Source organism: Homo sapiens, chromosome 5, assembly GCF_000001405.40.
Source record: "Homo sapiens chromosome 5, GRCh38.p14 Primary Assembly".
Classification (NCBI taxonomy): Eukaryota; Metazoa; Chordata; class Mammalia; order Primates; family Hominidae; genus Homo; species Homo sapiens.
Window position 1 is genome coordinate 112,980,991 of NC_000005.10, and position 26,590 is coordinate 113,007,580.

Here is a 26,590-nt window from a genome sequence, read left to right on the forward strand (position 1 = left end):
TTTTAAATTGTTCCATTGTTTACCTTTGTGACTTTATGATTTTTTTTTTAGAGACAGGGTCTTGCACCATTGCCCAGGCATGATCATAGCTCACTGCAACTTCCAACTCCTGGACTCAAGCTATCCACTTGGCTCAGCCTCCTGAGTAGCTAGGACTATAGGCATGTACCACCATGCCCAGGTATTAAATACATTTTTTTTTGGTAGAGATGGGATCTTTGCCCAGCCTGGTCTCAAACGTACTTGTAGCCTCAAGCAATCCTCCTGCCTCAACCTCCCAAAGTGTTGAGATTACAGGTGTGAACTACCATGCTGGCCCCTTTGTGACTTTAATATACTTAAAATTATATTTGTTTTACGAACTTACAGTATTTCTTGAGTCTCTGATATGGTGAGATGATTAGTGCCTCATTTTTTCTTGCCCATTCCCTCGGCTTCTATCCAGATTAACTTGAAAAAAATTAGGGTTGATAATATTTATATTCTATTTTGTAAATCTACGTCTGTTATATTTTGTGCTATTTGTTGATTGTAAAAGCTGAACAATAATGATACAGTGTAAATAGATATGTAGTTTTTACAGTAGAGGCAAGTCTTCAGCGGCTAGTTTCTTTTCCATCGGGGCATAGTCAGGAGCCCTTTGTAAGTGTCTTGCAGAATATCTGAATGAATTCTCCGTTCTTATATCCTACAAATTGGTCAAAATGATGGTACCATTTAGTTTTTTCTTTGGGGAAAGAAATATATGCTTTTGTTACTATTGCTTGATTCCTTCTAGCCTTTTTGTTTGTTTGTTTTTGAGACGGAGTCTTGCTCGTTTGCCCAGGCTGGAGGCAATGATGTGGTCTCAGCTCACTGCAACCCGTGTCTCCTGGGTTCAAGCGATTCTCCTGCCTCATCCTCCCGAGTAGCTGGGATTACAGGCACCCTCCACCACACCATTTTTTATATTTTTAGTGGAGACGGGGTTTCACCATGTGTTAGCCAGGCTGGTCTTGAACTCCTGACCTCAGGTGATCCGCCTGCCATGGCCTCCCAAAGTGCTGGGATTACAGGCGGGAGCCACCATGCCAGGCCCCTTCTGGCTATTCTTGAAATCCATTTTTTTGAGGGGAGGGGACAGTTGGCTTTCTGTTCTAACTTTGGTGTTTTTGCTTCACATTTGGACTATGATTCTGTTGTACATGTACTCCTCTCTAATATGTCCAAAGTTTCTAGCTGCTTTTTTCAACCCTTCTCATCCGCTTCCTTATCTTATCCTCAATCATACTTTCGACAGAATCCTTTTTTCCCTTTAGACTGCACTCTTGGGGACCTCCATCCTCCTAATCCAGTCTGGACTCGTTGCTCCTCAGACTTGCCTAGCAACTAGAATACTAGAATTCACTTTCACAACTCTCTGAGATGGTACTTACTCTTTCTTGAATATCATGTTTCATCCTTTCTTGGTTTTCATTCTTGTTTTGCTTGTGCGCATTTTAAGTTAATTTCTTTGAGGGGGTTCATTAGGAAGTAAACTGAGTCCTTTAATGTGTAAAATACCTGTTTCTGTTTTCACACTTAGTTCCCACATGGTCTAGCGTCCACATTTTGAGTACCAGTGTCTAGGTGATATCCTTAATACTACCTTCCACTGCTTCCGTTGGTTATAGTAATAATAGTTTTTTTTCCCCCCGAGGGCTCTTACTTAGTTACTGTACATTTAAAGAAAAATACAGTTGCTCTGAAAAAGGAATACTCTTTTAAATTTCTTTTAGGATAATAATTCCATCTTTCAACCCTCACTCCTGTTTTCTTCTGGTTCCTCAATTATGTTTTCTTCAGCGTCAGTTAAAAAACTTTCTTGTCATGCTTCACATTTTCCTTAGATGGTAGGTGATTTTTGGATGCCTTTTTATATTAATGATGAGACATTTGGGAGGTTTATTCATTAATACGCTTCTCCTTTATGTGAGTAGATAGGGAGCTGGCTCTTACACTTGAGGGTTTTTCATTTTTTAAAATACAGATAAAGCAGACTTTAAAGGATAAAGGTGGTGGTTATCAGTGTTGATTAATCAAGTTGGGCTCAAGGATTTCACAGGTCTTAAATGCCATCACACAGACTGCCATGCCAAGGGCATTCTGAATGCCAATTACAGATTGAAGTTCCTTCAGAAACCAAGATGTTATCAAAAACTGATGAAGTCTGGGTTTCTCTTCAAGTAAGACAAACACATTTCTTACATAGAGAAAATAGACTACTTGGTTCTGAAAGTTAAAACACTACGCTGAATAATTCCCCTCCCCTTCCCCACAAGTCCCTAAGGCAATATTACGGTTGCCTCTGACAGTTAAAATTTCAGCATTTCAACAGAGCGGGCTGAGGAGAACTGGGAAAAATGAAAAGCAAAATTAATGTAATTGATATGGGGGGTATTTTTTTAAAAAAATAGAGACGGGGTCTCACATTGTTGACCAGGCTGAATTTGAACTCCTTGGCTTTAGTAGCTGGAATTTCAGGCATGTACTACCATGCCTGGCAAGGCAGTATAGAAACATAAAGACTCACAGTAGGATTGACTTACGAGACCTTTCAGCACTGAAGGATATGAGTTTCCAAGTATGTATAGTCTATGGAATGACAGTGTAGTGGATCAAAAATAGACACTGCAAAATTTCACAACACTGGGGATGGAAGGAAGATATTAGAAGCATCCAGACTGGGGAAAAAAAAAGGTCATATACAAAACATTAAGAATCTGAATGGCTTTTGTCCTTGGCACAAATTAGAAGTAAAAAGAAAAAAAATCTGAATGGCTTCGATCTTCTCAATATCAAAATTGCAAGTTGGAATTAAGAACACTTTTGAAGATTCTGAAAGAAAATCATTTCCAACTTAGAATTCTTTACCCAAATTATCAAGTATGAGGATAAAGACATTTTAGATGTGTAGTATCTTAAAATATAGTATTTACCTCCCCTTTGCATCCTTCCTTCACAGGATATGTGAGGATTACTTCATGAAAACAAGGAAGTGAATTAAGGAGGATGAAAACAAAAAGACAAGACACATGACCTCTGTGGGATAAAGGCACAGGGAACTATAGGATGCTTGTGAAAGGGCAGTGTAGAGTTGACAGATGTGTACCAGGTGTAGAGGACAGCTGATCCAGACTAGAACAGATCAGAAGACTAGAAGTCTTAAAGATGAAACTGATGAATCTGAATTGTGGGGAAAAAAAATCCAAAATGAAACTGATGGATCTGAAAAGAAAATTCACAATGGAGATGATTATGTCAGAATATCCAAAAAGGAGCCAGGAGGGCATAAGGAGTTGGATCCTGGTCACATACACATCTAGATGGAGTTTCACCTGCTGAACTGGGCCAAAGTGTAAAACTAGCTGCATTTGACTTGAGTTGTATATACTGGGCCTGATCAACCGCCTGGAGAGATAACCATACCCAACTATATTGATCATTGACTAGAGACATCCTGAGCTGACAACCAGCCATCATTTATCATGGACTGTGCTAAAACCTTCCAGATACGTAAATTTACAGTAGCCCTTAAAAGCTCTGCCTAACCTTGCCTGAATGCAACATGATTTAGCTGCTTGCTAGACTTGTGTCTCCCAAATTGCAATCTCTAAAAACCTGATTAAAATGCCTTTTGCTACTCCAGTGTTGCAGTGTTGTTTTTATTTCTTAATTAAAAAAAAAAAAAAAAAATATATATATATATATATATATTTGAGACAGTGTCTCGTCACCCAGGCTGGAATGTAGTGACATGATCATAGCCCACTGCAGCCTTGAACACCTCGGCTCAAGTGATCCTCCTGCCTTAGCCTCCCAAGCAGCTAGGACTACAGATGCATGCCACCATATCTGGCTAATTTTTAAATTCCTTTGTTGAGAAGGGCCTCTTGTAATTGGAGAAGAGTATTCTTATGCTTATTTGAAACTTGGAAACAGCCAAGAATTATTTACTATGATAGTGATTAAGCAAGTGATCAAACTGGGTGGTACTATTTTTAATTTTAAAAAATGACTCTAAAAACCAGTGGACTTGAATCTGTCTCTAATGGTTACTGGGAAAAAGGATTACCAAAAATGCTTAACATTGGAAAAAATAAGTGATAGCTGCTTAATGACTGCTCTGAATTACAACATTGACTTAGATTGATGAATTTTAACTTGTATGTTTCATAATAAAGGGGTTCATTATCCTAATTACATATGTGTACATGCAATATTAGTGTATATTAATATAAATGTATATTTATATGTAAAAGAAATATGTCTTTCCTTTCCCCAATGTACATGGAAAAGACAATTTAGGGTTTTGAAAAGTGAGTGTATTTGAAAGTTTGAACTGAGGCTGTGCAGGTGAGGCTTTTTGGGAAGTCCTAGTATATTAATGAGCAACAGAATATTGGTTTCTTTTCCAATATTTCTTGGTAATATTTTGTATGTGAAGATTATGTAATAGCAAACATTTTAAAATTGTATGAATATATTTACCTGTATTCTTGGAAATGTTGCCAGACATGGGAGGAAGCGGAGGTTTTCTTGCTCACTTTTGTTGTTAGTGAGCTCTTAAGCTGATCTCTGTACTTGTGAACAGAGGGTACACAGGCTCAGAACAAACTGTATTAAAAGTGAGATACATGTGGTGTCTCCTCTCTAAGACTCATCTTCCCTATAGTATTTCTCTCAAATATTAATTGCTTCCTTGAACAGTACTGCTCTTGGTCCCTTTTCTCAGTTGGTGGGTCAGGTATGAAGCACTTAAATAGCTTAAGATAAATCGTTATAGTTTGTAAATGTAATTTTTGTATGTGTTTTGTTTTTGACAGCCGATTTATTTTGCATATTCCCAGCGAGGAAAGAGACAATGCAATCCGAGTGTGTTTTCAGATTGAACTTGCCCATTGGTTTTACTTGGATTTCTACATGCAGAACACACCAGGATTACCTCAGTGTGGGATAAGAGACTTTGCTAAAGCTGATATCCTTTTTATTACTATAATGACTGACTTTCTTGTTAGCAATATATTTTAGCACAAATTTCTTTTTGCTTGCCTTTTCAGATTTTAAAACTATTAGAGAAAAACATACTTGATTGCTAAAATTTGTCAAACATAAATAGTAGACACAATTTAGTAATAATCATATTAATAATCATAATCATTAATACTCATAATAATCATACAGAGGACGCCCTAAAATGTACACTGATTAAATTTTATTTTTTTCCCATGCATAGCTAGCCTGTTTGTACAACTTTACTCTTGCTGCTGCATGTAACCAGATGATCTTTTAATCAGATTACTGCCTTTCTGATTTATTTAGAATTTTTTTTCTTTTTTTTTTTTAAGAGACAGGATCTTATTCTGTCGCTCAGGCTGAAGTGCAGTAATGTGATCCTAGCTTACTGTATTCTCGAGCTCCTGCTTAAGCAATCCTCCTCCCTAGCCTCTCGAGTGGCTGTGACTACAGGCATGCGCTACCATTCCTGCTAATTTTTTTTTTATGTTTTCTAAAAATGGGGGTCTCTCTTTGTTGCTGAGGCTGGTCTTGAACTCCTGGCCTCAAGTGATCCTCCTACCTTGGCCTCCTAAAGTGCTGGGATTAGAGGTGTGAGCCGCTGTGCCCAGTGACATTTATTAAATAATTATTGAATGTTTACTATGTTTGAAGCAGTGTTTTCAGTTGTGTGGCAAATACAAAGAAGCCCTTGGTGGGTGCAGTGGCTCACACCTATAATCCCAGTACTTTTGAGAGGCCGAGACTGGTGGATTGCCAGAACTCAGGAGTTTGAGACCGGCCTGGGCATCATGGCGAAACCTCATCTCTACCAAAAGTACAAAAACAGTTACCTGGGCATGGTGGCACTCACCTATGGTCCCATCTGCTCGGGAGGCTGAGGCAGGAGGGTCTCTTGAGCCTGGGAGGTGCAGGTTACAGTGAGCTGAGATGGCACCACTGCACTCCAGCCTGGACGGCAGAGTGAGATTCCGTCTCAAAGAGAAAAAAGTCATCTTTGCCTTCAGAGAAGCTTCTTTCCCCATGTACATATCAGGCAGAAACTTGTCGTGATTTATTAGTTATAAAAGATTCACATGAATATTTAACATTATAAAAGAAGCTATGTCATAAGGCAAATAATTGAGTAATTGCTAATGGTCCTGATAGTACATGTTTCTAGAATTTGGAAAAAAAAGTGGAAATATTTTAGGGAAAGCTATATTTTTGAGGGAATATAGGATTTTCTCAGTAGAAGTGGGGAATGTGTTTTAGGTAAAGAAAAATTGGAGATTTGAAAAAGGATAGCTCAATAAATAAATTAGTTTGAATTGAACAGCGTCCTCTCATGGGGCCATAATAGCAGATATGGTTGGAAAGTCATATGAGGTGATGATGGCATCGTATGGGTTCTTAAATCTTGAGCTAAAGCACTTTGATTTTTATTCCCCCCGCCCGCCCGACAAACCGAGACAGCCTCACTTTGTTGACCAGGCTGGAGTGTGGTGGTGTGATCTTGGCTCACTGCAGCCTCCACCTGCAGGGTTCAAGTGATTTTCATGCCTCAGCCTCCTGAGTAGCTGGGACTACAGGTGCAAGCCACCACACCTAGGTGCCTTTTTTTTTTTTTTTTTTTTTTTTTGTATTTTTAGTAGAGATGGGGTTTTGCCATGCTGGCCAGGCTGGTCTCAAACTCCTGCCGTCAAGTGATCCACCTGCCTTGGCCTACCAAAGTGCTGGGATTACAGGTATGAGCAACTGTGCCCAAACTGATTTTTATTCCATAGGTCTTTTTTTTTTCTCTCCTTTTTTGAGATAAGGTCTTGCCTTGTTGCCCAGTCTGGCTTGAATTTCTGGGCTTAAGCAGTCTTCCCGCATTTTTCCCAAGTAGCTGGGATTATAGGTGCTACCGCACCTGGCCAGGTTATTGTTTTTGACCATGACGTGTATGTTTAATGGATTTGTACCCACAAGTTCGTGTACTAGAACTAGAGTTGGAGTAGGGATAGGTGAGCTGAAATACCCTCATTCTCAGCTACCTATCACTTTCCTTTAGCCTCATGAAGTATGGAATCCTTCGGGCTCTGTAGAAAATGGATGAAACAGTGATTGTTCTGTAACAGTTAACTGTTAACCATAGCACATTTTTGAGCAACGGTAAAGAATATTACTCTGATCATTTGAAAACGGTATCCAAGGCCGGGTGCGGTGGCTCATGCCTGTAATCCCAGCACTTTGGGAGGCCAAGGGGGGCGGATCACTAAGTCAGGAGATCGAGACCATCCTGGCCAACACAGTAAAACCCCGTCTCTACTAAAAAAAAAAAAAAATACAAAAAATTAGCTGGGCGTGGTGGCGGGCGCTTGTAGTCCCAGCTACTCCGGAGGCTGAGGCAGGAGAATGGTGTGAACCCGGGAGGCAGAGCTTGCAGTGAGCCGAGTTCGCGCCACTGCACTCCAGCCTGGGTGACACAGCGAGACTGTGTCTTAATAAAAAAAAAAAAAAAAAAAAAAAATGGTATCCAAGATTTATTGGTTGGTCTGTTACATCACTTGACGTTCAGGGCAATAAATCCCTGAGCCATAGTAGTGGGACTACAAAGAAAACACTGATGGGAGACAGATTTCAAAGGAAGAAATGATCAAACCGTTTGATTAAATGTGTAGAAGTTAATGAGAAATCAGAGGGAAATAGAAATATATTGAGCACTATCTTTGTTAAAGGCCTTGGTGATAGGTTCTCTGGAGAAATCTTAGTAGCCTGGTTTTCAGGAGTTACAATCTAGTTAAGGAAACGTAACTAAGATAACCAAGTCCTCTTTTGCTTTGGTCATTTTGTATGGACTTACAGCCCTTCTAGGGCAACTTTACATACTTTAGGGTTTTGGATAACATTTTGTGTGTGTTTGCACATGAGTTTTACACTTTGCCTGCTATTACAAAACACCAACAACCTTTGTTTTAGGTATGTTTCATTTAGTTAACTAAGAATAGCTACATGGAGAAGGAATGTTTAATGTGGTACACTTCATTAAGTAACTTCATGGTTACTCTGTGCCAGGCCTTATGCAGTGAAGAGAGTAGACTCAGTATCTTCAAGAAGATGAGAAAAGACAGGAAAGGAAATGATTACAGTGCAGTGTGGTAGGATGTGATACAGAAGCACAGTGTTCAGTGGGAACAGAAGAGGGATACCCACTTACGATTTGGAGGCTGTGAGTTTGATTCCCATCTTGGCCACTCGAAAATCTTGGGTAGGTTATTTAAATCATCTTAGATGAGGATCCCAGTTTCTTCCTGACAAAGTTATTAATAGTGCCTAATTCAAAGGGTAAGTTTAAGAAACACATATATTTGTACATGTAAGTCGTTTACTTGGCACAGTGATCAATAAATGTTAATGTAATAAATGTTAACTATTACTCCAAAAAAAAAAAAAGATTTGGGAGCTAAATAGAAGCCTTCTCTGAGATAGTGATTTATGTGAGGAAAATCGGAGGAAATGAAAAAAGTTACTGTATTTTAGACTAAATGGGAAAGATAAGAGATGATGCTACAGAGTAATTCAGAGGCTAAAACATGTAGGGGTCTTGTAGGCCATATTTCTTTAAAAAACAGATTAAAAAAACTTATTTTGGGAAAAAACTTTCGGAGATGGCCAAAGAACATGACAACTGCCATCATACCCTTCATCTGTATTCATTCATTATTAACGTTTTCCTACATTTGCTTATTTCTCCGTATAGGGGTATTTTTCAAGACTGCTGTGAAATAGTGTGAACAGTGAACTGGGGGAAGGCAAGATTGGATTCTGAGAATCCAGTTAACATGCTATTTTATTAATTTACTAGAGAGAGAAAACCTGTGGTAGTAGAAATGAATAGAAGAGATCAAATTTGAGAGCTATTTAGGAGGTAAGATTGGTGATGATTTGGATATCTGAGGAGAAGTAGAAGAAAGGATGGTACCCAGGTTTCTAGTATGAGCAGTTGAGGATCCCAGTTTCTTCCTGAAAAATAAGGTTACTAATAGTGCCTAATTCAAAGGGTAAGTTTGAGAAGCACATATATTTGTACATGTAAATCGTTTACTTGGCCATCTCATTGGCAAGAAAATGAGAAATGTAGGGAATTGATGGGTTCTGTTATGGGCCAGTTGAGTTGATGGTACATGTGGGATATTGCAGTAGAGAAGACTGCATACTTTGATAAGAGCATACGTTCTCGAGCCACATCCTTTGAGTTAGCATCCTTTCTCTGCCACTTACTAGCTATGTATCCTTGGGTAAATTGTGGAACTTGTCTATGCCTCTGTTTTCTCTTTTGTAAATTATGCATAGTCTTTGATTTTTTTTCCTTCAGTAAGCACTCAGCAACGTGGATACAGACAAGAGTATCCCACATTTGCTCCTTGGCTGAAGTTCTGCTAGGGATTTTACTAAACATGTAAAGCCAGAATTTTAATACCTTTTAGAATCTTACCAGGCCCTTATAGAACCATAGAGCTTCATGGAATGGTTAATGTTGTATCCAAGCTTTCATCTTTTTTTTCCCCTCCCCAAATGAAGGCATGCACTAATTATATTGAGATTAACTTTGCGCTTGTCTTAAAAAAAAAATTGTAGGGACAGGGTCTTACTATGTTGCCCAGGCTGGTCTTGAACTCCTGGGCTCAAGCATTCCTCCTGCTTTGGCCTCCCAAAGTGCTAGGGTTACAGGTATGAGCCACCACACCTGGCCAAATTACAGTGTTGTTATATATGGCTGACTTGACTTGGGCTCTGAGGACCTATTTCATTTGTACTACAACTATGAAACAAATTTTAAATTACAGAATTGTAGAACATGTAAAATTCAAATTAATAAAATGAATTTAATGTGATTTTTTTTTTTAAACCAGACTTTTCATCACAATGTGAATGAATATAATGCCGACTTCTTTGAGGGTGTTTTGAGTTTGGTGTACCTGTACTAACACCACCTTTCTCTGCTCTCTGTTATGAAACATTCCTTTCTATATTATGTCGTATGTCATTTGATTGTAATGCATCATTTGTAGATTAGCTTTATTTCTGTTTTTAATAGCCTGTAGCAATTAAAGTAGTACTAGTACCAATATGGTCTCTGAAATCAAGTGGTAGTATTTGATACATATGGTCATCTAGATAATTGAATATATGCTCAGATTGCATGTTAGAGTAATATCAAAATGAAAACACAGTATACAAATTTTTATTGAAGAATTGAGAACCCTTAAAAGTATGACCTCATTTTGAGAGATACTATCATAAATTATCATTTTCTCTATGCTTTTTTAAAATTAACAGTATTATAGTGATGGGGCATTCGATAGCATGGAGTGTTGGAAGTCTGAGCATATAATTTCAGGGTTTGGATTTTACTTACTTTACTATTAATATTTTACACTGCCCAGTTTTGGGGGGAGGCATGCCTAGTTTCTTTGAAACTGGCTATGTTTTCCTTAATACCTGATTTGCCTTTCTCTGTAATCCTTAAAATAAAATTTGTTAAAAGTGTTCTTCATTATGGAAACAATATATATGTGGTAAACAGTATAGAATGGCATACCTCATTCATACTTCTCCTTCCCAGAATTAAGCACTTTATTCTTTTTCTGATGTGATAGTTTCTTTCTCTTAGCAATATATTTTCTTCTGTTTCTTGCTATCACTTTATATATGTAATTCTATTTCTTGTTATTACGCTAATATATATAACTACCTGGCATTATGAATTTGACTCACTTAACGAGAAATGTTCTAGGTGTTTACATGGTCCAGAATTAGTTTGTGTTAGGGATCCAGGACTGTGAGTACTAAAAACTTGATTTGTGTGTAGGCTACAAATGAAAAAGTTAACAATGACTTTTTAAGAGAAAACAAATGTAGAAAAAACAAAAACACAGTCTGCCTCGGCCTCCCAAAGTGCTGGGGTTACAGGTGTGAGCCATGGTGCCTGGCCAAAATGCTACACTTAAATGAGGGAAGATTTGAATAATTTCACATGAAATACACTATTGATTTAAATGGGTCTCTTTCTGTATATAATTTCTCAAGCCATATTAAAGGAGAAAGTAACTTCCTTGACACTATTTATACTCTTCAGTCATTGTCCGTTTTTGCTGCCTCAAGGTGAAGATGTGGAAAAAGTTTTGGATGAATGGAAGGAATATAAAATGGGAGTACCAACATATGGTGCAATTATTCTTGATGAGACACTTGAAAATGTGAGTGTAATGAAATAAAGATTTTTAGTGAAATGGTGATCGTTAATCTGTTAACAAAATTTGTTATTGATGTAGTGTTTCTAAATTGAGGTTTTAAAATATACTTAGATTTTTAGTGCTAAAAGGCCAAGCTTTGTATATTTTATCCGCATGCTATGTCTGCAGATTTTTTACTTGTTGCAGTTACGGTGTGGTACAAAAAAGTGTCGCTTAATTGTTGAAGACTTTTTTTTTTTAAATGGGCAGAATGCTTTCACACTGGTGGTGATGTATTCAGACTCACTGAAGATACTTTAAGAAAATACTCTGTAAAATTATTGGCGATAACAGTTACCTCAAGTAAGGAGAAAAATGCCTTTGATTTTTAGAAAGGAGCATGGAAAAGGAGGGCAAGTTTGATTTTTACTTCTGCTTGTTTTGTAGGTACTACTAGTTCAGGGGTACCTAGCAAAATCAGGCTGGGGATTTCCAAAAGGAAAAGTAAATAAAGAAGAAGCTCCTCATGATTGTGCTGCTAGAGAGGTAAGTTATTCCATTTTGATACACAGTAAATTTGGCTATTAGGGTCTGAATGTATTTTTTTTAGCCATATAGACTTACTTCTTTGGACTGTCTTAACCCTTTCCAGAACTTGAGTGCATGAAGTAACTTACTTTTTTTTTTTTTAAATCACTGTTGATTGTTTTATCCACATCTCTTTTCATTTATTCTTATCTGTTCCCATTTTTTTTAATGGTCCATTTTGTATTATCTCTTGTTCCTTTCTTTGATGATATTTTTCCCACCTTTCCCTTTAGAATTAGATTTCCTATTGGTAAAACATTTTGGCTGTTATAATCCTTGTTTTATGTTTATAGCCTTGGCTTCCTGACAAGTGCACAATTTGGGATTTTCTAAGAAGTTGACATTTGTTGCTGAAAACCCAGTAAGGCTTTCCACTGCCTATAGGATAAAGTTTAATTCTTTAAGTATTTAAACTCTGTCCCCTCTCCCCCACACAAATCTTAACCATTTCTGAATTTATCATATTTTCAGTCAAAACAATTTATTTTCTCTCTCTTGAACTTGATTGATTTGTTTCGGCCTTTAAATTTTTGCTGTTATGGCCAGGCACGGTGGCTCACGCCTGAATATGGGAGGCCGAGTCAGGCGGATCACCTGAGGTCAGGAGTTCGAGACCAGCCTGACCAACATGGAGAAACCCCGTCTCTGCTAAAAATACAAAAAATTAGCTGGGCGTGGTGGTACATTCCTGTAATCCCAGCTACTTGAGAGGCTGAGGCAGGAGAATCTCTTGAACTCGGGAGGCAGAGGTTGCGGTGAGCCGAGATCACCATTGCACTCTAGCCTGGGCAACAAGAGTGAAACACTATCTCAAAAAAAAAAAAAAACCAAAAAAAAAAAACCAAAATTTTTTTTACTGTTATTTTCCTACCTGGAATGTCCTCTCTTGTTCCTTCTGTTCAGCTCCTATCTAGATATGTTTCTAAACCCAGCTTAAATCCCTTTTCCCTGAAGGACTGCCACTGCCACCGCCACCAACTAACTCTGTGTATAGGGCTTAAGTTTCTTTTCTGTCTCTCTCTCGTGTGTGTGTGTATGTGTATCTATGTGTGTGTGTTTATAAATATGAACACATACACATACAATTATTTTTGGTGTAGGATCTCGCTTTGTTGTCCAGTGGCAACATCATAGTTTTAATTTTTATTTATTTATTTATTTATTTACTTATAGAGGCAAAGTCTATGTTGCCCAGGCTGGGTTTGAACTTCTGAGGTCAAGTGATCTCTCCTCCTCGGCCTCCCAAAGTGCTGGGATTAGAGACACGAGCCACCGTGCTTGACTGGGCCTTAGTTTCTTAAAATGAAGTTTAGAATGGATGTTCTTTGAAGTTCATTCCTTTTTTTCTTTCTTTTTTTTTTTTTTTTTTTTTTTTTAAAGACAGGGTCTTGCTCTGTTACTGAGGCTGGAGTACAGTGACATGATGATAGTGCACTGCAGCCTCGACCGCCTGGGCTCAAGCAATCCTCCTGCCTCAGCCTCCCAAGTAGTTGGGACCACAGTTGCATGCCACCATGCCCAGCTAATTTTTTTTTTATTTTTAATGGTGGGGTCTCACTGTGTTGCCCGGGCTGGTCTTGAACTTCTAGGCTTAAGTGATCTTCCTGCCTCAGCTTCCCAAAGTGCTGGGATTACAGGCGTGAGCCACTGTGCCCAGCCTTCATTCTTACTTAAAATTCTATTTTAAAATCTTACCAGTCAGCTCTAGCAAACAGTAGTGTTAGTCTCTGAACTTCAATAGCAGTTATTGTCTTTACTGTTCACTATTATATAATACCTTGTGATGGATTGTTTGCCGTATTCTTATTTCTTACCATTTATCACACAATTTATCATGTATCACACAATTATTCTTGAGATTTGAGAAGTTGAACTAATAGGAAGTATGATATAAGGGAAAGCAGATTGGCCTAGGAGTTGAAAGATTTTTGTTCTAGCATACATTTTGTTACCCAGTACCCTAGAGACTTTAGTCACTTAACCTCTGTAAGACATAAAGACCTTTAAGAAGATTCACTCAAGTCCATTAGAAGTAATATCTTTAAGGAAAAAATTCTAAGGTGGTAGTGATTTGATGAATTTAAGACTGTTTGAAATGGTAGTATGGATTTTGTGGCACATTTCATTAGAATTCATTGCCTTGTGTATGTTTGACTCGATTTCCTGCAACAATGTTTACTGCCTACTTTAAGTTTGGGTGTAACTATTAATGAGGGATAATAGTTAAAATTTTTACAAACTGCTGGTGGTGGTTTATTATAGAAAAACCATTAGTGGTTATTCACTTTGTAATAGAATCAAAAAATGATTGAAAATGCTGTATTTTAAATTTGATATGGAACAGCTTGCCCAAGCTATTATTTACAACAGCCTATAGACAAAGCTGTTGTGTATGAGTAAATGAAGGTTAATACACAACTCTTAAAATTGGAAGCAGTTTGGTGAGAATGTGAGGAATTGCCATATCACCTAAGAGCTTAGCTTTTCTTTCTGTAGATGGTAGGAAATGAGACGGACCAATTGTAAAAGTCCTCCCTTTTATTTCCTCAAACTTTGTAGTTCTCTTGCTTATAAGGAAGGAGAAAATAGAAATCAGCAGTATCCTGCTTAGAGGAATTGATTGTAGCTCTGTACATGGGATTAGACTGGTCTAACGGCAGTAAGGTGGTTGTCCAGGTCAGGAAGAGGATATTACATTGGTTGGAATAACAAAACAGTTCCATTTTAGGTTTTTGTCTTGGTTTGAGGGAAGCACAGGCATCCTGAAGAGCCGTAGTCTCTTAATTTCAGGGAGAATTTTTTCGTTTTCATAATAAAAATTCTAACCTCTAAACATTCTTTTTGATCTCTATGATGTCCTTTTATAGCTGACTAAGGAACTTTAATTTCAGTAAATTTTTGGATTAGGATTTTTAAAGGCAAGTTTGACTTTTGATTTTTAAATGACCGACTTTGTCGTAAAGTTTGGGATTAGGGTGAAGTGTTGCTGTTTTAGTCTGTGAGGGCTACCATAACAAAATATCACAGATGGAGTGGCTTAAACAAATTTATTTTGCAACGGTTCTAGACGCTGGGAAGTCCAAGAGCAAGGTGACTTATAGATTAACACCTTGCTGAGCACACTTATACCCTTCTTGTGTACATGCAGAGAGAGATCTGGTGTCTCTTCCTCTTGTAAAAATGGCACCAGCCCTGTCAGATTAGGGCCCTGCCCTTATGGATCTCATTTGACCTTTATTACTTCCTCACAGCCCTATCTCCAAATACAGTTACATGGGGGGTTGAGCTTCAACATATGAATTTTTTTGGTGAGGGGACATAATTTAGTCCATAGCAGTGGCCTTTTTTGAATGATGAAAGTATTCAGCTAGAATTGCAGTTTGTCCTTCTGCCACTTGGTGGTGCTGCGGTATAAAAGAAGCTGCACGGCTTGACCGAGTGACATTACCAGTTGTAAACCAGATGGTTATTCCATTCTTCATAGTTTATTAATGCCTCGTTTTTCCTTTTCATTTCCACTTGTATTAACAGATGAGGAGAGATTTTGTTCTAATTTTCTAGCTACTGATTAGACTTAGGCTGATGTTTTGAGCACTTTTTTTTTCTTGCATTTAAGTTACATACATTTAAGTTCTACCATGGGTGCTTACAATTTTAAGTTGCTAATAGCATTTTTATTTAGCTTATTATGGCATTCATACAGTTATATTAATGTTGTTATTTTAGTATAATTGGCATTCCAGAGGTGTTTTGTTACACTGTAGCAGAATTTGACACATCCTCAAACAGGGAAGGGTCTGTGGGCTAAGCCTAAAGCAGCAGTGGCAGACAAGCTACTTAGGGAGAAGGTGTAAGTAATTATCAATAGAGAGCTAAGAACAGACCTCTTTTTAGCAGACCTTTTTTTTGGGGGCAATCTTAATTAGTAATTTCCAATCTTCTATTTGACCTTTTGGCTCACCTTTGTTAATTTGACTATTTCTGGATAGTTTATTCAGTGAAATAGATTTAGGACTGTCAAAAGACAAAATCACAACAAATTTAAAGATTGCAATGGGTTTATTTGCAATTTTAGAATTATGCAACATTTTATTCCATAAAATAAAATGAGCATTCCAATGGCTGAGCAAAGGAGGTAGGCTTTAAAGACAGAAAAGAGCTGAGGAAAGCAGAACCAAAAACCAAATGTACATTGGCGTTTCAAAGTTAGTTTTCTTCTAAAGGTTAAAGCAGAGGGGACTTCCTTATCATGCTAACTGAAACTGGTCTGTTTTGGGATTTGGCTATTAGCTCTTTTTCTCCACATATCTTGAAGGTTAGGAGAACAACTTAGTTTTGGTTTGGTGACATGGAATGTTAGCATGAGTAATTCCATTTTGTTTAGGTCTGTTGGGGCCTAGTGTGGGAATGCAGTCCATACCGTGGCCTCCTATAAGTTCTATTTAACAGGACAAAGATGTTTTCTAGATATTGTCGAAGGCATAATAATCTCAATTGTATTTTTGTTGTGATTTGTGGTGAAACATCAACTTTCTTGAGAATAAGCGAATAATACTTAGCTGTTCACTTGTGGTTTCAAGATTTAATATATCGTTCCTTATTATTTGGCAAAGCAGTGTTTTAGTGTAATGAAACTGACTTTCATGTGCACTTATATAATTTAATAGAATTAATACAAAGCAACTATTGGTCAGTTTATTCTGCCTCTTCCTGTAGGCTTATAGGATGAAGATTATAGACAGGATTTCATTGTCTTTGTACACTGCTGCTCTTTGGGTTACACTTTTTCTTTTTCTTTTTCTTTTTTTTTTTTTTGAGACGGAGTCTTGTTCTGTCACCCAGGCTGGAGTGCAGTGGTGCGATCTCAGTTCACTGCACCCCAACCTCCGCCTCCCGGGTTCAAGTGATTCTCCTGTCTCAGCATCCCGAGTACCTGGGATTACAGGCGCACGCCACCATGTTTGGCTAATTTTTGTATTTTTAGTAGAGATGGGGTTTCACTATGTTGGCCAGGCTGGTCTTGAACTCCTGACCTCGTGATCCACCAGCCTTGGCCTCCCAAAGTGCTGGGATTACAGGTGTGAGCCACCGAGCCTGGCCCTTTGGGTAACACTTTAAAAAAAATTTTATTTGTGGATTTTTATCTGCTAACATTTGAGAAGTTGATACTCCTTCTGCTAGGAGAATTAAACGCTATATTATAATACAGCAATAGATTTGATTCACAGGAGGTGTGGTATAAAAATTTTTGTCTTTGGTGTCTGTTTATATATTTCAACTATTATAACTTTTTCCTGGCAAATATTTGATGAGAATACTTGCCTAATTTTACAGGCAAATCTGTTTTATCACTTTTAGAATTGATTGGACAGTTTGAATCTACCTCTTTTAGTGCTGGTGGCCCTTGCTGTTTTGCCTCATATTGTACTACTTCCTCCCTTGTAATTCTTAAGCTGTAGCCATTCCTGGCTATCTAAACAGAAGGCCTTTTTTCTTCTTGTTGGTTTGGCAAACTCCTATTTATCTTTTAAGTCCTAGCTCCAGTTTATCCAGCAGAATAGGCTGCTGTCCATAACCAAAGAAGACCATCCCCCAACTCTCAAAGACGTCTACTAAAGGCTGAGTTGGGCACTCTCCTCCTACCTCATAATACTTATATCATATTAAAATTTTTTCTGTTGTAGACTGAACTCCTTAAAGGGTGCTGCTTGCGTTATTCATTACTAAATTCACTGCCTAGAACAGTGCCTGTCATTTACTAAGCACAAAGTACATAGTTGAGTGAAAGCACTAAGAACTAAACATAGCTACGTGACCCCATAAAAATTACATTGAGGATGAGATAGTGTCGTATGTAGAGAAGAATAGATTAATTCAAAGAATAGACTTTAATGTTACACCATAGTTGCTATATTACTTTCGATAAATGTGTGTGCAGAGTTTTTTATTATTGCTGAATTATTTAAGAGTAAATTGCAAACGTAATGCCCCTTTGTCCTTAATTGCTTCTGCATGTATGTTTTAAGAACGAGGAGTTCTTTTAGGGCAATCACAGTGAAATTCTCAAATTCAGGAATGTAACATTGATATGGTGCTGTTTGTTATCTAATGGACAGTTCATATTCACATTCACTAATTGCCCATTATGATTCAGCAGTTCCCACCCATTTGCCTACCCAGGATCCAATCCATGCTTACTTGCTGCATTTGCATTTAATTGACACGTCTCTTCAGTCTCCTTTAATCTGAAACTCTTCCTTACTTTTTCTTCAGTACTTTCTTTTATTAAGCATCTAGTTAGATACTGTTGGTAACACAAAGATAACAGGCTCTGCCCACGAGGAATTCAGATTATACAATTTACTTTTAGCATAATTTCCAATTATGCAGATTCATATGACTAGCTATGTATACTTATTTCTGATTTTTGAGGCATTATTCAAAGAGCAGAGCTAAAGAAAATAACTATAAAACTAGAATTAAGAAACATATAAAAATTACTTTTTAAACCTTTTTCTGTTGTTTTTTTTTTGAGATGGAGTTTCGCTCTTGTTGCCCAGGCTGGAGTGTAATAGCATGATCTCGGCTCACTGCAACCTCCATTTCCTGGGGTTCAAGTGATTCTCCTGTCTCAGCCTTCCGAGTAGCTGGGATTACAGGCATGCGCCACCCCGCCTGGCTAATTTTGTATTTTTAGTAGAGACGGAGTTTCTCCATGTTGGTCAGGCTGGTCTCTAACTCCTGACCTGGTGATTAGCCTGCCTTGGCCTCCCCTTAGTGCTGGGATTACAGGCGTGAGCCATCGCACCCAGCCTTTTTTTTTTTTTTTTTAAAGACAGGGTCTTGCTCTGTCATCTAGACTGGAGTGCACTGGGATGGTGATCACGGTTCACTGTAGCCTGGAACTCCTTTGATCAAGTGATCCTCTCACCCCAGCCTACTGAGTAACTAGAAAAACAGGCGTGCGGCCGGGCATGGTGGCTCATACCTATAATCCTAGCACTTTGGGAGGCCAAGGCGGGTGGATCACCTGAGGTCAGGAGTTTGAGACCAGCCTGGCCAACATGGTGAAACCCTGTCTCTACTAAAAATACAAAAATTAGCTGGGCATGGTGACAGGCAGCTGTAATCCCAGCTGCTCAGGAGGCTGAGGCAGGAGAATTGCTTGAAACTGGGAGGCAGAGGTTGCACTGAGCCAGGAGCCCACCATTGCACTCCAGCCCGGGCAACAAGAGCGAAACTCCATCTCAAAAAAAAAAAAAAAAAAAAAGAAGAAGAAAAACAGGGGTATACCACCATGCCAGGCTAATTTTTATCTACATTTTTTTGTATAGATGGAGTCCCACTGTTGCCTAGAATGGTCTCGAACACCTGGGCTCAAGTGATCCTCCCTCTTTGGCCTCCCAAAGTACTGAGATTGCAGGTGTGAGCCACTGTGCCCAGTCCTGTTTTTTTGAAGTGCAATTACTGGTCTCGAACACCTGGGCTCAAGTGATCCTCCCTCTGTGGCCTCCCAAAGTACTGAGATTGCAGGTGTGAGCCACTGTGCCCAGTCCTATTTTTTTGAAGTGCAATTACTTGTCTAATACACACACACACACACACACACACACCCACACACCCTACCTGAGTTTTTAATATATTCTTGATCTTAATGGTGTCTTTGAAGACAGTTGCACATATTGATAGGTAAACTTTTAAGTAAACCAGCCTTAATTGTTAAAATTATAAATCCAAGCCATCGAGATTAATTTATTAATCAAAAACATTATTAAGCTCTATCTCAAGCAGTAGATTAGACCTTAGTTTCGAAGGAAAGGAAAACCAAAGCATCTGGACTTTTACTCTGATTGGAATGCTCAGACAGCTTGCATGAGTCAGTTCCACATCATTGATGATTTAATTACCTTACCTTCTGTATATAAATGTTAAGATTTGGAGAGTGGGAAATCTTGAAACCTCTATCACTAGCCTTCAGAATTTTATTCTGGGAAAGATATATAGTTTGTGTGTGTTTGAATGTCAGCAATCAGGTCTACAGTGGACTGGTTCTCTATATACCATACCACCTGTGGATACAGTATTAGAAACAATAGGGCACAAGAACTTTTTTTACATCTCATATGCATTTCTGTACCAGCCTGTCATTTCTAGAAATAGTAAATACAAGTCATGTCCCCTTTTTCTGAGTTTTTGTCTTGGGAATAAATTTTAATGAACTAGAGGCCTAAGAACTAAAATGAAAATTTCATCCAAATTTGTTGTTTCCAGGTCTTTGAAGAAACTGGTTTTGATATCAAAGACTATATTTGTAAGGATGATTACATTGAACTTCGAATCAATGACCAGCTTGCTCGTTTGTACATCATTCCAGGAATTCCAAAAGACACAAAATTTAACCCAAAAACTAGAAGAGAAATTCGGGTATGTAACAAGAGTATTTTCAGGTTACTGGACAGTATCCCAAATGAATAAGTAGGGAAATCCTTTTATAAGCTCCTTGATAAAAATTAACTAAATGAATTATTTTCTTCTGTGTTTCAGAACATTGAGTGGTTCTCTATTGAGAAATTGCCTTGTCATAGAAATGATATGACCCCCAAATCCAAACTTGGTTTGGCACCTAACAAATTTTTTATGGCCATTCCCTTTATCAGGTGTGTTCATATTTCTTGAAATGTAACTTTCATGATTGGGATAGTCATCTTCTGTCTGTAGCCATATTTTGAAAGTGAATTCTTAATGTTTCTGCAGACCATTAAGGGACTGGCTTTCTCGAAGATTTGGCGATTCCTCAGACAGTGACAATGGATTTTCCTCAACTGGTAGCACGCCGGCTAAACCCACTGTGGAAAAATTGAGGTAAAGAAATACATTCATGGAATCCTGATTTTCTAATAGTTTTTAAAAGTGGAATAATAGTATTTTGCTTCTAAAATTTGCAGAGGATGTAAGATTTCTTTTTATAGATACTCTTTGTTACTGGTCTCACAGATAATAGAAGATTTTTTTAAAGGGTTTCTGATGAGATGAAAAAGGTTAATTGGAGTTGGAAAGGAGCTTCAGGCACCTTTTAAAATAGTATACTCAAGAGGATACCAACTTTTTAGATAGAACACTAGGAAAGGAAAAAAAATCTTGTGTCGTGTGTTCTTAGTGTTACTTCTCTGTTGTCATATCCTACTTTTAAGATAATTGAGTTTCTAAAGACGTTTGGATGGAGGATATGTTGAGGTTTGTTTTCTTGTAGGGGAGAGGAAGGATGCTAATGTAGTTTGTTAAATTGGAGATAGAACAGTGAAGACTTGGGCTTTTAAAAAAATTTCCCAGCAAGGGACAGTGGCTCACGCCTGTAATTCCAGCACTTTGGGAGGCCAAGGCAGGTGGATCACCTGAGATCATGAGTTCAAGACCAGCCTGGTCAGCATGGTGAAACCCCATCTCTACTAGAAGTACAAAAATTAGCTGGGCGTGGTGGCAGGCACCTGTAATCCCAGCTTCTCGGGAGGCTGAGGCAGGAGAATGGCTTAAACCTGGGAGGCGGAGGTTTCAGTGGGCCAAGATCATGCCACTGTACTCCAGCCTGGGTGACAGAGTGAGACTCGGTCTCAAAAAAAAAAAAAAAAATTGTGTCAGAGATTGTGTATTATCAAGAGTGACTACTACCTGGACATAAACCGTGAAGAACATTTTCTTGCTTGGAACTTTTTGTTTGTTTTTTGTTTTTGAGGCAGGGTCTCTCTCTGTTGCCCAGGCTGGAGTACGTGGCATGATCACAGCTCACCGCAGCCTTGACCTCCTGGACTCAAGTAATCATCCCACTTAGTTTCCTGAGTCACTGGGAACACAGGCAGATGCCACTAAGCCTGGCTAATTTTTTCTTATTTTTTGTAGAGATGGGGCTCTCCCTATGCTGCCCAGGCTGCTGTTGAACTCTTGGGCTCCAGTGATCCTCCTGCCTCAGCTTCCCAAAGTTTTGAGATTACGGGCGTGAGCCACCATGCCTGGCCTCTGGCTTACAACTTAATTGCATCCAAGTCAGTTACAGAGTAGGCTGGGAAAGTAACTTTGTTAAATAAGGTTGTATTTTTAAACATAATATATATTTTAAGCATAATCACCTTGTTTACAAAGTTGCCTATGTTAGAGAGAGTTGATTTTTACATTTTCTGTAATTTGGATTTGCTTTTATGACAGAGCTTCAGAAATTAAATAGGAGTAAACCACCTCTATAGTAAGCATTTCTTAAATCAGTAGCATTCCATTTTAGATGGATATTCTGAGGACAGGAGCTTGGACTAAATGCCCTGATGTCTTTCAGAATCTGTTATTGTAATATTAGTCAAAAGCTGACTAATTCCTGACCTTGAGTGATCTACCCTCCTTGGCCTCCCAAAGTGCTGGGAGTATAGGTGTGAGCTACTGCGCTCAGCCTGCATTAGTACAACATTTTAATAGATTCTTTTGCAGAAGAATTCGAGACTGGATCTTTACTTAATTTGCTCATTCATTATCTTGTGCCCTTTAATTTTATACTTTAGAGGGTAGCTTACTTTCTCAGATCATCTTTCAGCTAGGATGTGGTCTGTAACTGACTTGTGCAGGGTCAAAAAATTAGCAGGGCATGGTGGCGTGTGTCTGTAGTCTCAGCAACTTGGGAGGCTGAGGTGAGAGGATGGCTCGAGCCTGAGAGGTTGAGGCCACGGTGAGCTGTGATCCTGCCACTGCACTCCAGCCTGGATGACAGAGGGAAACCCAGTCTCAAAAAGCAGGAAAATGTACATTCGTTTCATCTAAATTTAGATTTATAGTCTGCATATTTTTTAAGAGTACACTATAATCACTTATAGGGAGGAGATGGCCTGGATAATTTTTTTAAGTCTAGGATGAAAAAAAATAGTAGTGTATTAATTCATTCAAGAAATATTTATTGAATACCAGGCACTCATCTGGGTGATGAGGATAAAGCAGTGCAGATTAAAATCTCTGCTCTCATAGAACTTACATTCCAGTGGGGAAGATAGACAGTAAATAAGAAAATATGTAGTCTATAAATTTAACTATTAAGGTGTTAAAAGAACTATAAGTGAACATTTTCTGATTTGATTATTTTTTAAATCTTGGTGTAGTCGAACCAAATTCCGCCACAGTCAGCAGTTATTTCCTGACGGTTCTCCTGGTGACCAGTGGGTAAAGCACAGGCAACCACTGCAGCAAAAGCCATATAATAATCATTCTGAAATGTCTGACCTTTTAAAAGGAAAGGTGAGTGATACACAATTACAGTCTTTTCAGAAATTTAGATCATTTGGCTTTGAAATTTTTCTCAATTGGAGAATTACATCTTAATAGTTACAGAGAGCTCTGAGTTACTGATCAAAGCCTGTATGTTCCTTACTTATGATTTGAAGCAGGGCTGAGGCTTCTTAATGTTTACAGTTCCGGTGTAAATCCAGTTAATAATAAGAATTAGCATCTGACTTTTGTGTATATGCTGCCAATGAAAGGTTCATTTAAAAATAAGTCATAAGGAAAATATTTTCCAAATTAACACAAGTGGGATCTATTGGCTTTTGTTCAGGAAGAAAAAGTAACAGCGTATTGTAAACTTCGATTTTCATTGTTGTATTCGAGTGTATAATTACACTGCTATTAATACTTGTTTTCCTTTTTTCCACATGTTCTAAGCACCACAGTTTATTTATTCATAACACTGTTAATGCACATTTTGGTTGTTTCCAGTTTGGGGCTTTAACAAACAGTGCTGCTGTGAACATTCCTATACCTGTCTTTTGATGAATATACACAGTTCTGTGTAACTAAAAGGAAAGAAAAGTAGAATTATTGGATCACTGGATATGCCTGTGTTATTGAGTATCTATTTGCTAATTTACTCAAGTTATTTATATCCTCAGCAAAATACATGAGAGTTCTAATCGTTGCACATCTTTACTAATACTTGATGTTATTTTTTTAATTTCAGGTTTCAATGTTACTTTTTTTTTTTTTTTATTTTAAAAATATACTGGGCTTGGCCAGGCGTGGTGGCTCATGGCTGTAATCCCAGCACTTTGGGAGGCGAGGCGGGTGAATCACCTAAGGTCATAAGTTCGAGATCAGCCCCGACATGGTGAAACCCCGTCTTTACTAAAAATACAAAAAATTAGCTGGGCGTGGTGGCGGGCTCCTGTAATCCCAGCTACTCTAGATAGAGCCCGAGGCAGGAGAATTGCTTGAACTCGGGAAGCAGAGGCTGCAGTGAGCCAAGATCGCGCCATTGCACTCCAGCCTGGGCAATAAGAACAAAACTCTGTCTCAAAAAAAAAAGTGTGCGTGTGGGTGTGTGTGTGTGTGTGTAAACTGGGCTTGTCAAAATTAAACTTTTGTGCTTCAGAAGACATTTTCAAAATAGTGAAAAAGTAGCCCACAAAATAGAAGATATTTGCAAATTATATATATAAGGGGTTAATATCCAGAATATGTAAAGAATTCTTAGAACTCAACAACAACACAACAATCTAATTTAAAACTGGACAAATGACTTGAATAGACAGTTCTCCAAAGAAGATATGCAAATGGCTCAACATTATTAATCATTAGGGAACATTGTTAATAATTAGTGGTATCTCCACAGTGAGATATCACTTCTTACCCATTAGGATGGCTATAATAAAAAACAAAAAAACAGAAAACAAGTATTGGTGAGGATGTGGAGAAACTGGAGACCTTGTGCATTGCTGATGGGAGTGTAAAATGGTGCAACCGCTGTGGAAAAGAGTTTGGCAATTTCTCAAACAGTTAAACAGAGTTACCATGTGACTCAGCAATTCCATTCCTAGGTAATATCCAAAAGAATTGAAAGCAGGAACTTAAACAGATAACTTGTGTACCAATGTTCATAGCAGCATTATTCACAATAGCCAAAAGGTGGAAACAACTCATATGCCTGTCAACAGATGAATGGATAAACAATGTGGTGTATACACATAATGGAATATCATTCAGCTTTAAAGGAATGAAATTAAGAAATGAAATTCTGCCCAGGCATGGGGGCTCATACCTGTAATCCCATCTCTTTGGTAGGCTGAGGCAGGCGGATTATTTGAGCCCAGTAGTTCGAGACCCACCTGGGCAGCATGTCTCTACTACTAAAAATATAAAAAATGAGCCAGGCATGGTGGTGCACACCTGTAGTTCCAGCTGCTCAGGAGGCTGAGGTGGGAAAATCACCTGAGCCTGGGAAGTCAAGGCTGTGGTGGCGCCATTGCACTCCAGCCTGGGCAACAGGAGTGGGACCCTATCTCCAAAAAAAAAAAAAAAAAAAAAATTTCGAAGCATGCTACAATATGGGTAAACCTCGAGGACATTATGCTAAGTGCAATAAGCCAGACACAAGAGGATAAATATCGTATTAATGTTATTCCATTCCTAAATAGGCAAATTCATAGAGACACAAAGTAGAGATTACCAAGGCTAGAGGGAGGGGAGAATAGGGAGTTACTGTTTATTGGTTGCAGAGTTTTTGTTTGGGATGATAAAAGTTGGGGAAGTGGGTAGTGCTGACTATACTAAATGCCACTGAATTATACATTCACAAGTGGTTGATGTGGTAAATTGTATGTATTTTGTACCACAATTAAAAAACTGCTGGGAAGAGTGGAATGAAACTAAATTAAAACTGCGTAGTAACATGAGTCATTCAAAGCCATACTTCCTTCACATCACTTACTTAGGTTATTGTTTTCCAGCTATTTTAGCAACTGGTTATTTTTCCCTATAGGTTGGAATGTAAATTAACATTCTTATTTTATATATATATATTTTAGAAGTTCCTCCTATTTATTCTATTTTAGCCAGTCCTCAAATAGCTATCTTTTCAATATCTCAAACAACAAATTAATGTTTAAAATGTTCGTTTTAATTTAAACTTAAGAATTTTTTGGTAGGAAAATTATCTTAAAGCAATTTAATAGCAAGATTCAAACTATTGCATGTCTAAGTTTAGGAATAATGGCCCACATTTTAAAACATAAATCTTAGCCGGGAACGTTGGCTCACACCTGTAATTCTAGCTCTTCGGGAGGCCAAGGTGGGTGGATCACTTGAGGTCAGGAGTTTGAAACCAGCTTGGCCAACAGGGTGAAAACCTTCACCGTCCCTATTAAAAATACAAAAATTAGCCGGGCATGGTGGCATATGCTTGTAATCCTAGCTGCTTGGGAGGCTGAGGCAGGAGAATCGCTTGAACTTGGGAGGTGGAGGTTGCAGAGAGCCAAGCACTGTGCTCCGGCCTGGGCAACAAAGTGAGACTCCATTTAAAAAAAAAATAATAGTAATCTTTGTTATTTTGTAAAAATATAGTAAAAACTTTGTAAAAATTAATACTGCTTATTAATAATTTAAAGCAGATTTCTAGGGTAACAATTGATTACTACATCTACCCATTTTCTGCTTTAAGAACTGTAGCTAATGTCCCTCGGCATTCCTTTACAGAGAGGTTCCATTTATGCATTAGAAACGAGATCTATAAGCAGACATGGGATAAGGCAAGAGGTGTGGAAAGATTTCTTTCTTTCTTTCTTTCTTTCTTTTTTTTTTTTTTGAAAAAGAGATAGTCTCCCTCTGTTGCCCAGGCTGTAGTGCAGTCGTGCCATCTTGGCTGACTGCAACCTCCACCTCCTGGGTTCGGGTGACTCTTCTGCCTCTGCCTCCTGAGTAGCTGGGACTATAGGCGTGTGCCACCATGCCCGGATAAGTTTTTGTATTTT

At 38.2% G+C, this 26,590-nt stretch overlaps 1 protein-coding gene across 6 annotated transcripts in view, besides 1 other annotated feature; it reads left to right on the forward strand.

Annotated features, from left to right (window-relative positions):
- Positions 1–26,590, forward strand: part of DCP2 (decapping mRNA 2) — a 45,398-nt gene that overhangs the window by 4,193 nt on the left and 14,615 nt on the right. For 2 of the 6 annotated variants that reach the window (NM_152624.6, NM_001242377.2), the window contains exons 2-8: positions 4,845–4,996; positions 11,131–11,258; positions 11,682–11,780; positions 20,094–20,246; positions 20,367–20,479; positions 20,577–20,684; positions 22,952–23,087. In NM_152624.6, coding sequence (NP_689837.2) covers positions 4,845–4,996; positions 11,131–11,258; positions 11,682–11,780; positions 20,094–20,246; positions 20,367–20,479; positions 20,577–20,684; positions 22,952–23,087 — 889 coding nt within the window. Of the gene's footprint in view, positions 1–51; positions 182–4,844; positions 4,997–11,130; positions 11,259–11,681; positions 11,781–20,093; positions 20,247–20,366; positions 20,480–20,576; positions 20,685–22,951; positions 23,088–26,590 lie in introns of those variants that run through there. The other 4 variants (XM_047416866.1, XM_047416867.1, XM_047416865.1 and 1 more) reach the window with 3 other exon arrangements.
- Positions 452–987: an enhancer, noted in NCBI's record as "H3K4me1 hESC enhancer chr5:112317139-112317674 (GRCh37/hg19 assembly coordinates)". NCBI's record gives its function as "activates a minimal SCP1, AML or CMV promoter by ChIP-STARR-seq in primed H9 embryonic stem cells {active_cell/tissue: H9 hESC(primed)}" and the evidence as "EXISTENCE:reporter gene assay evidence [ECO:0000049][PMID:30033119]".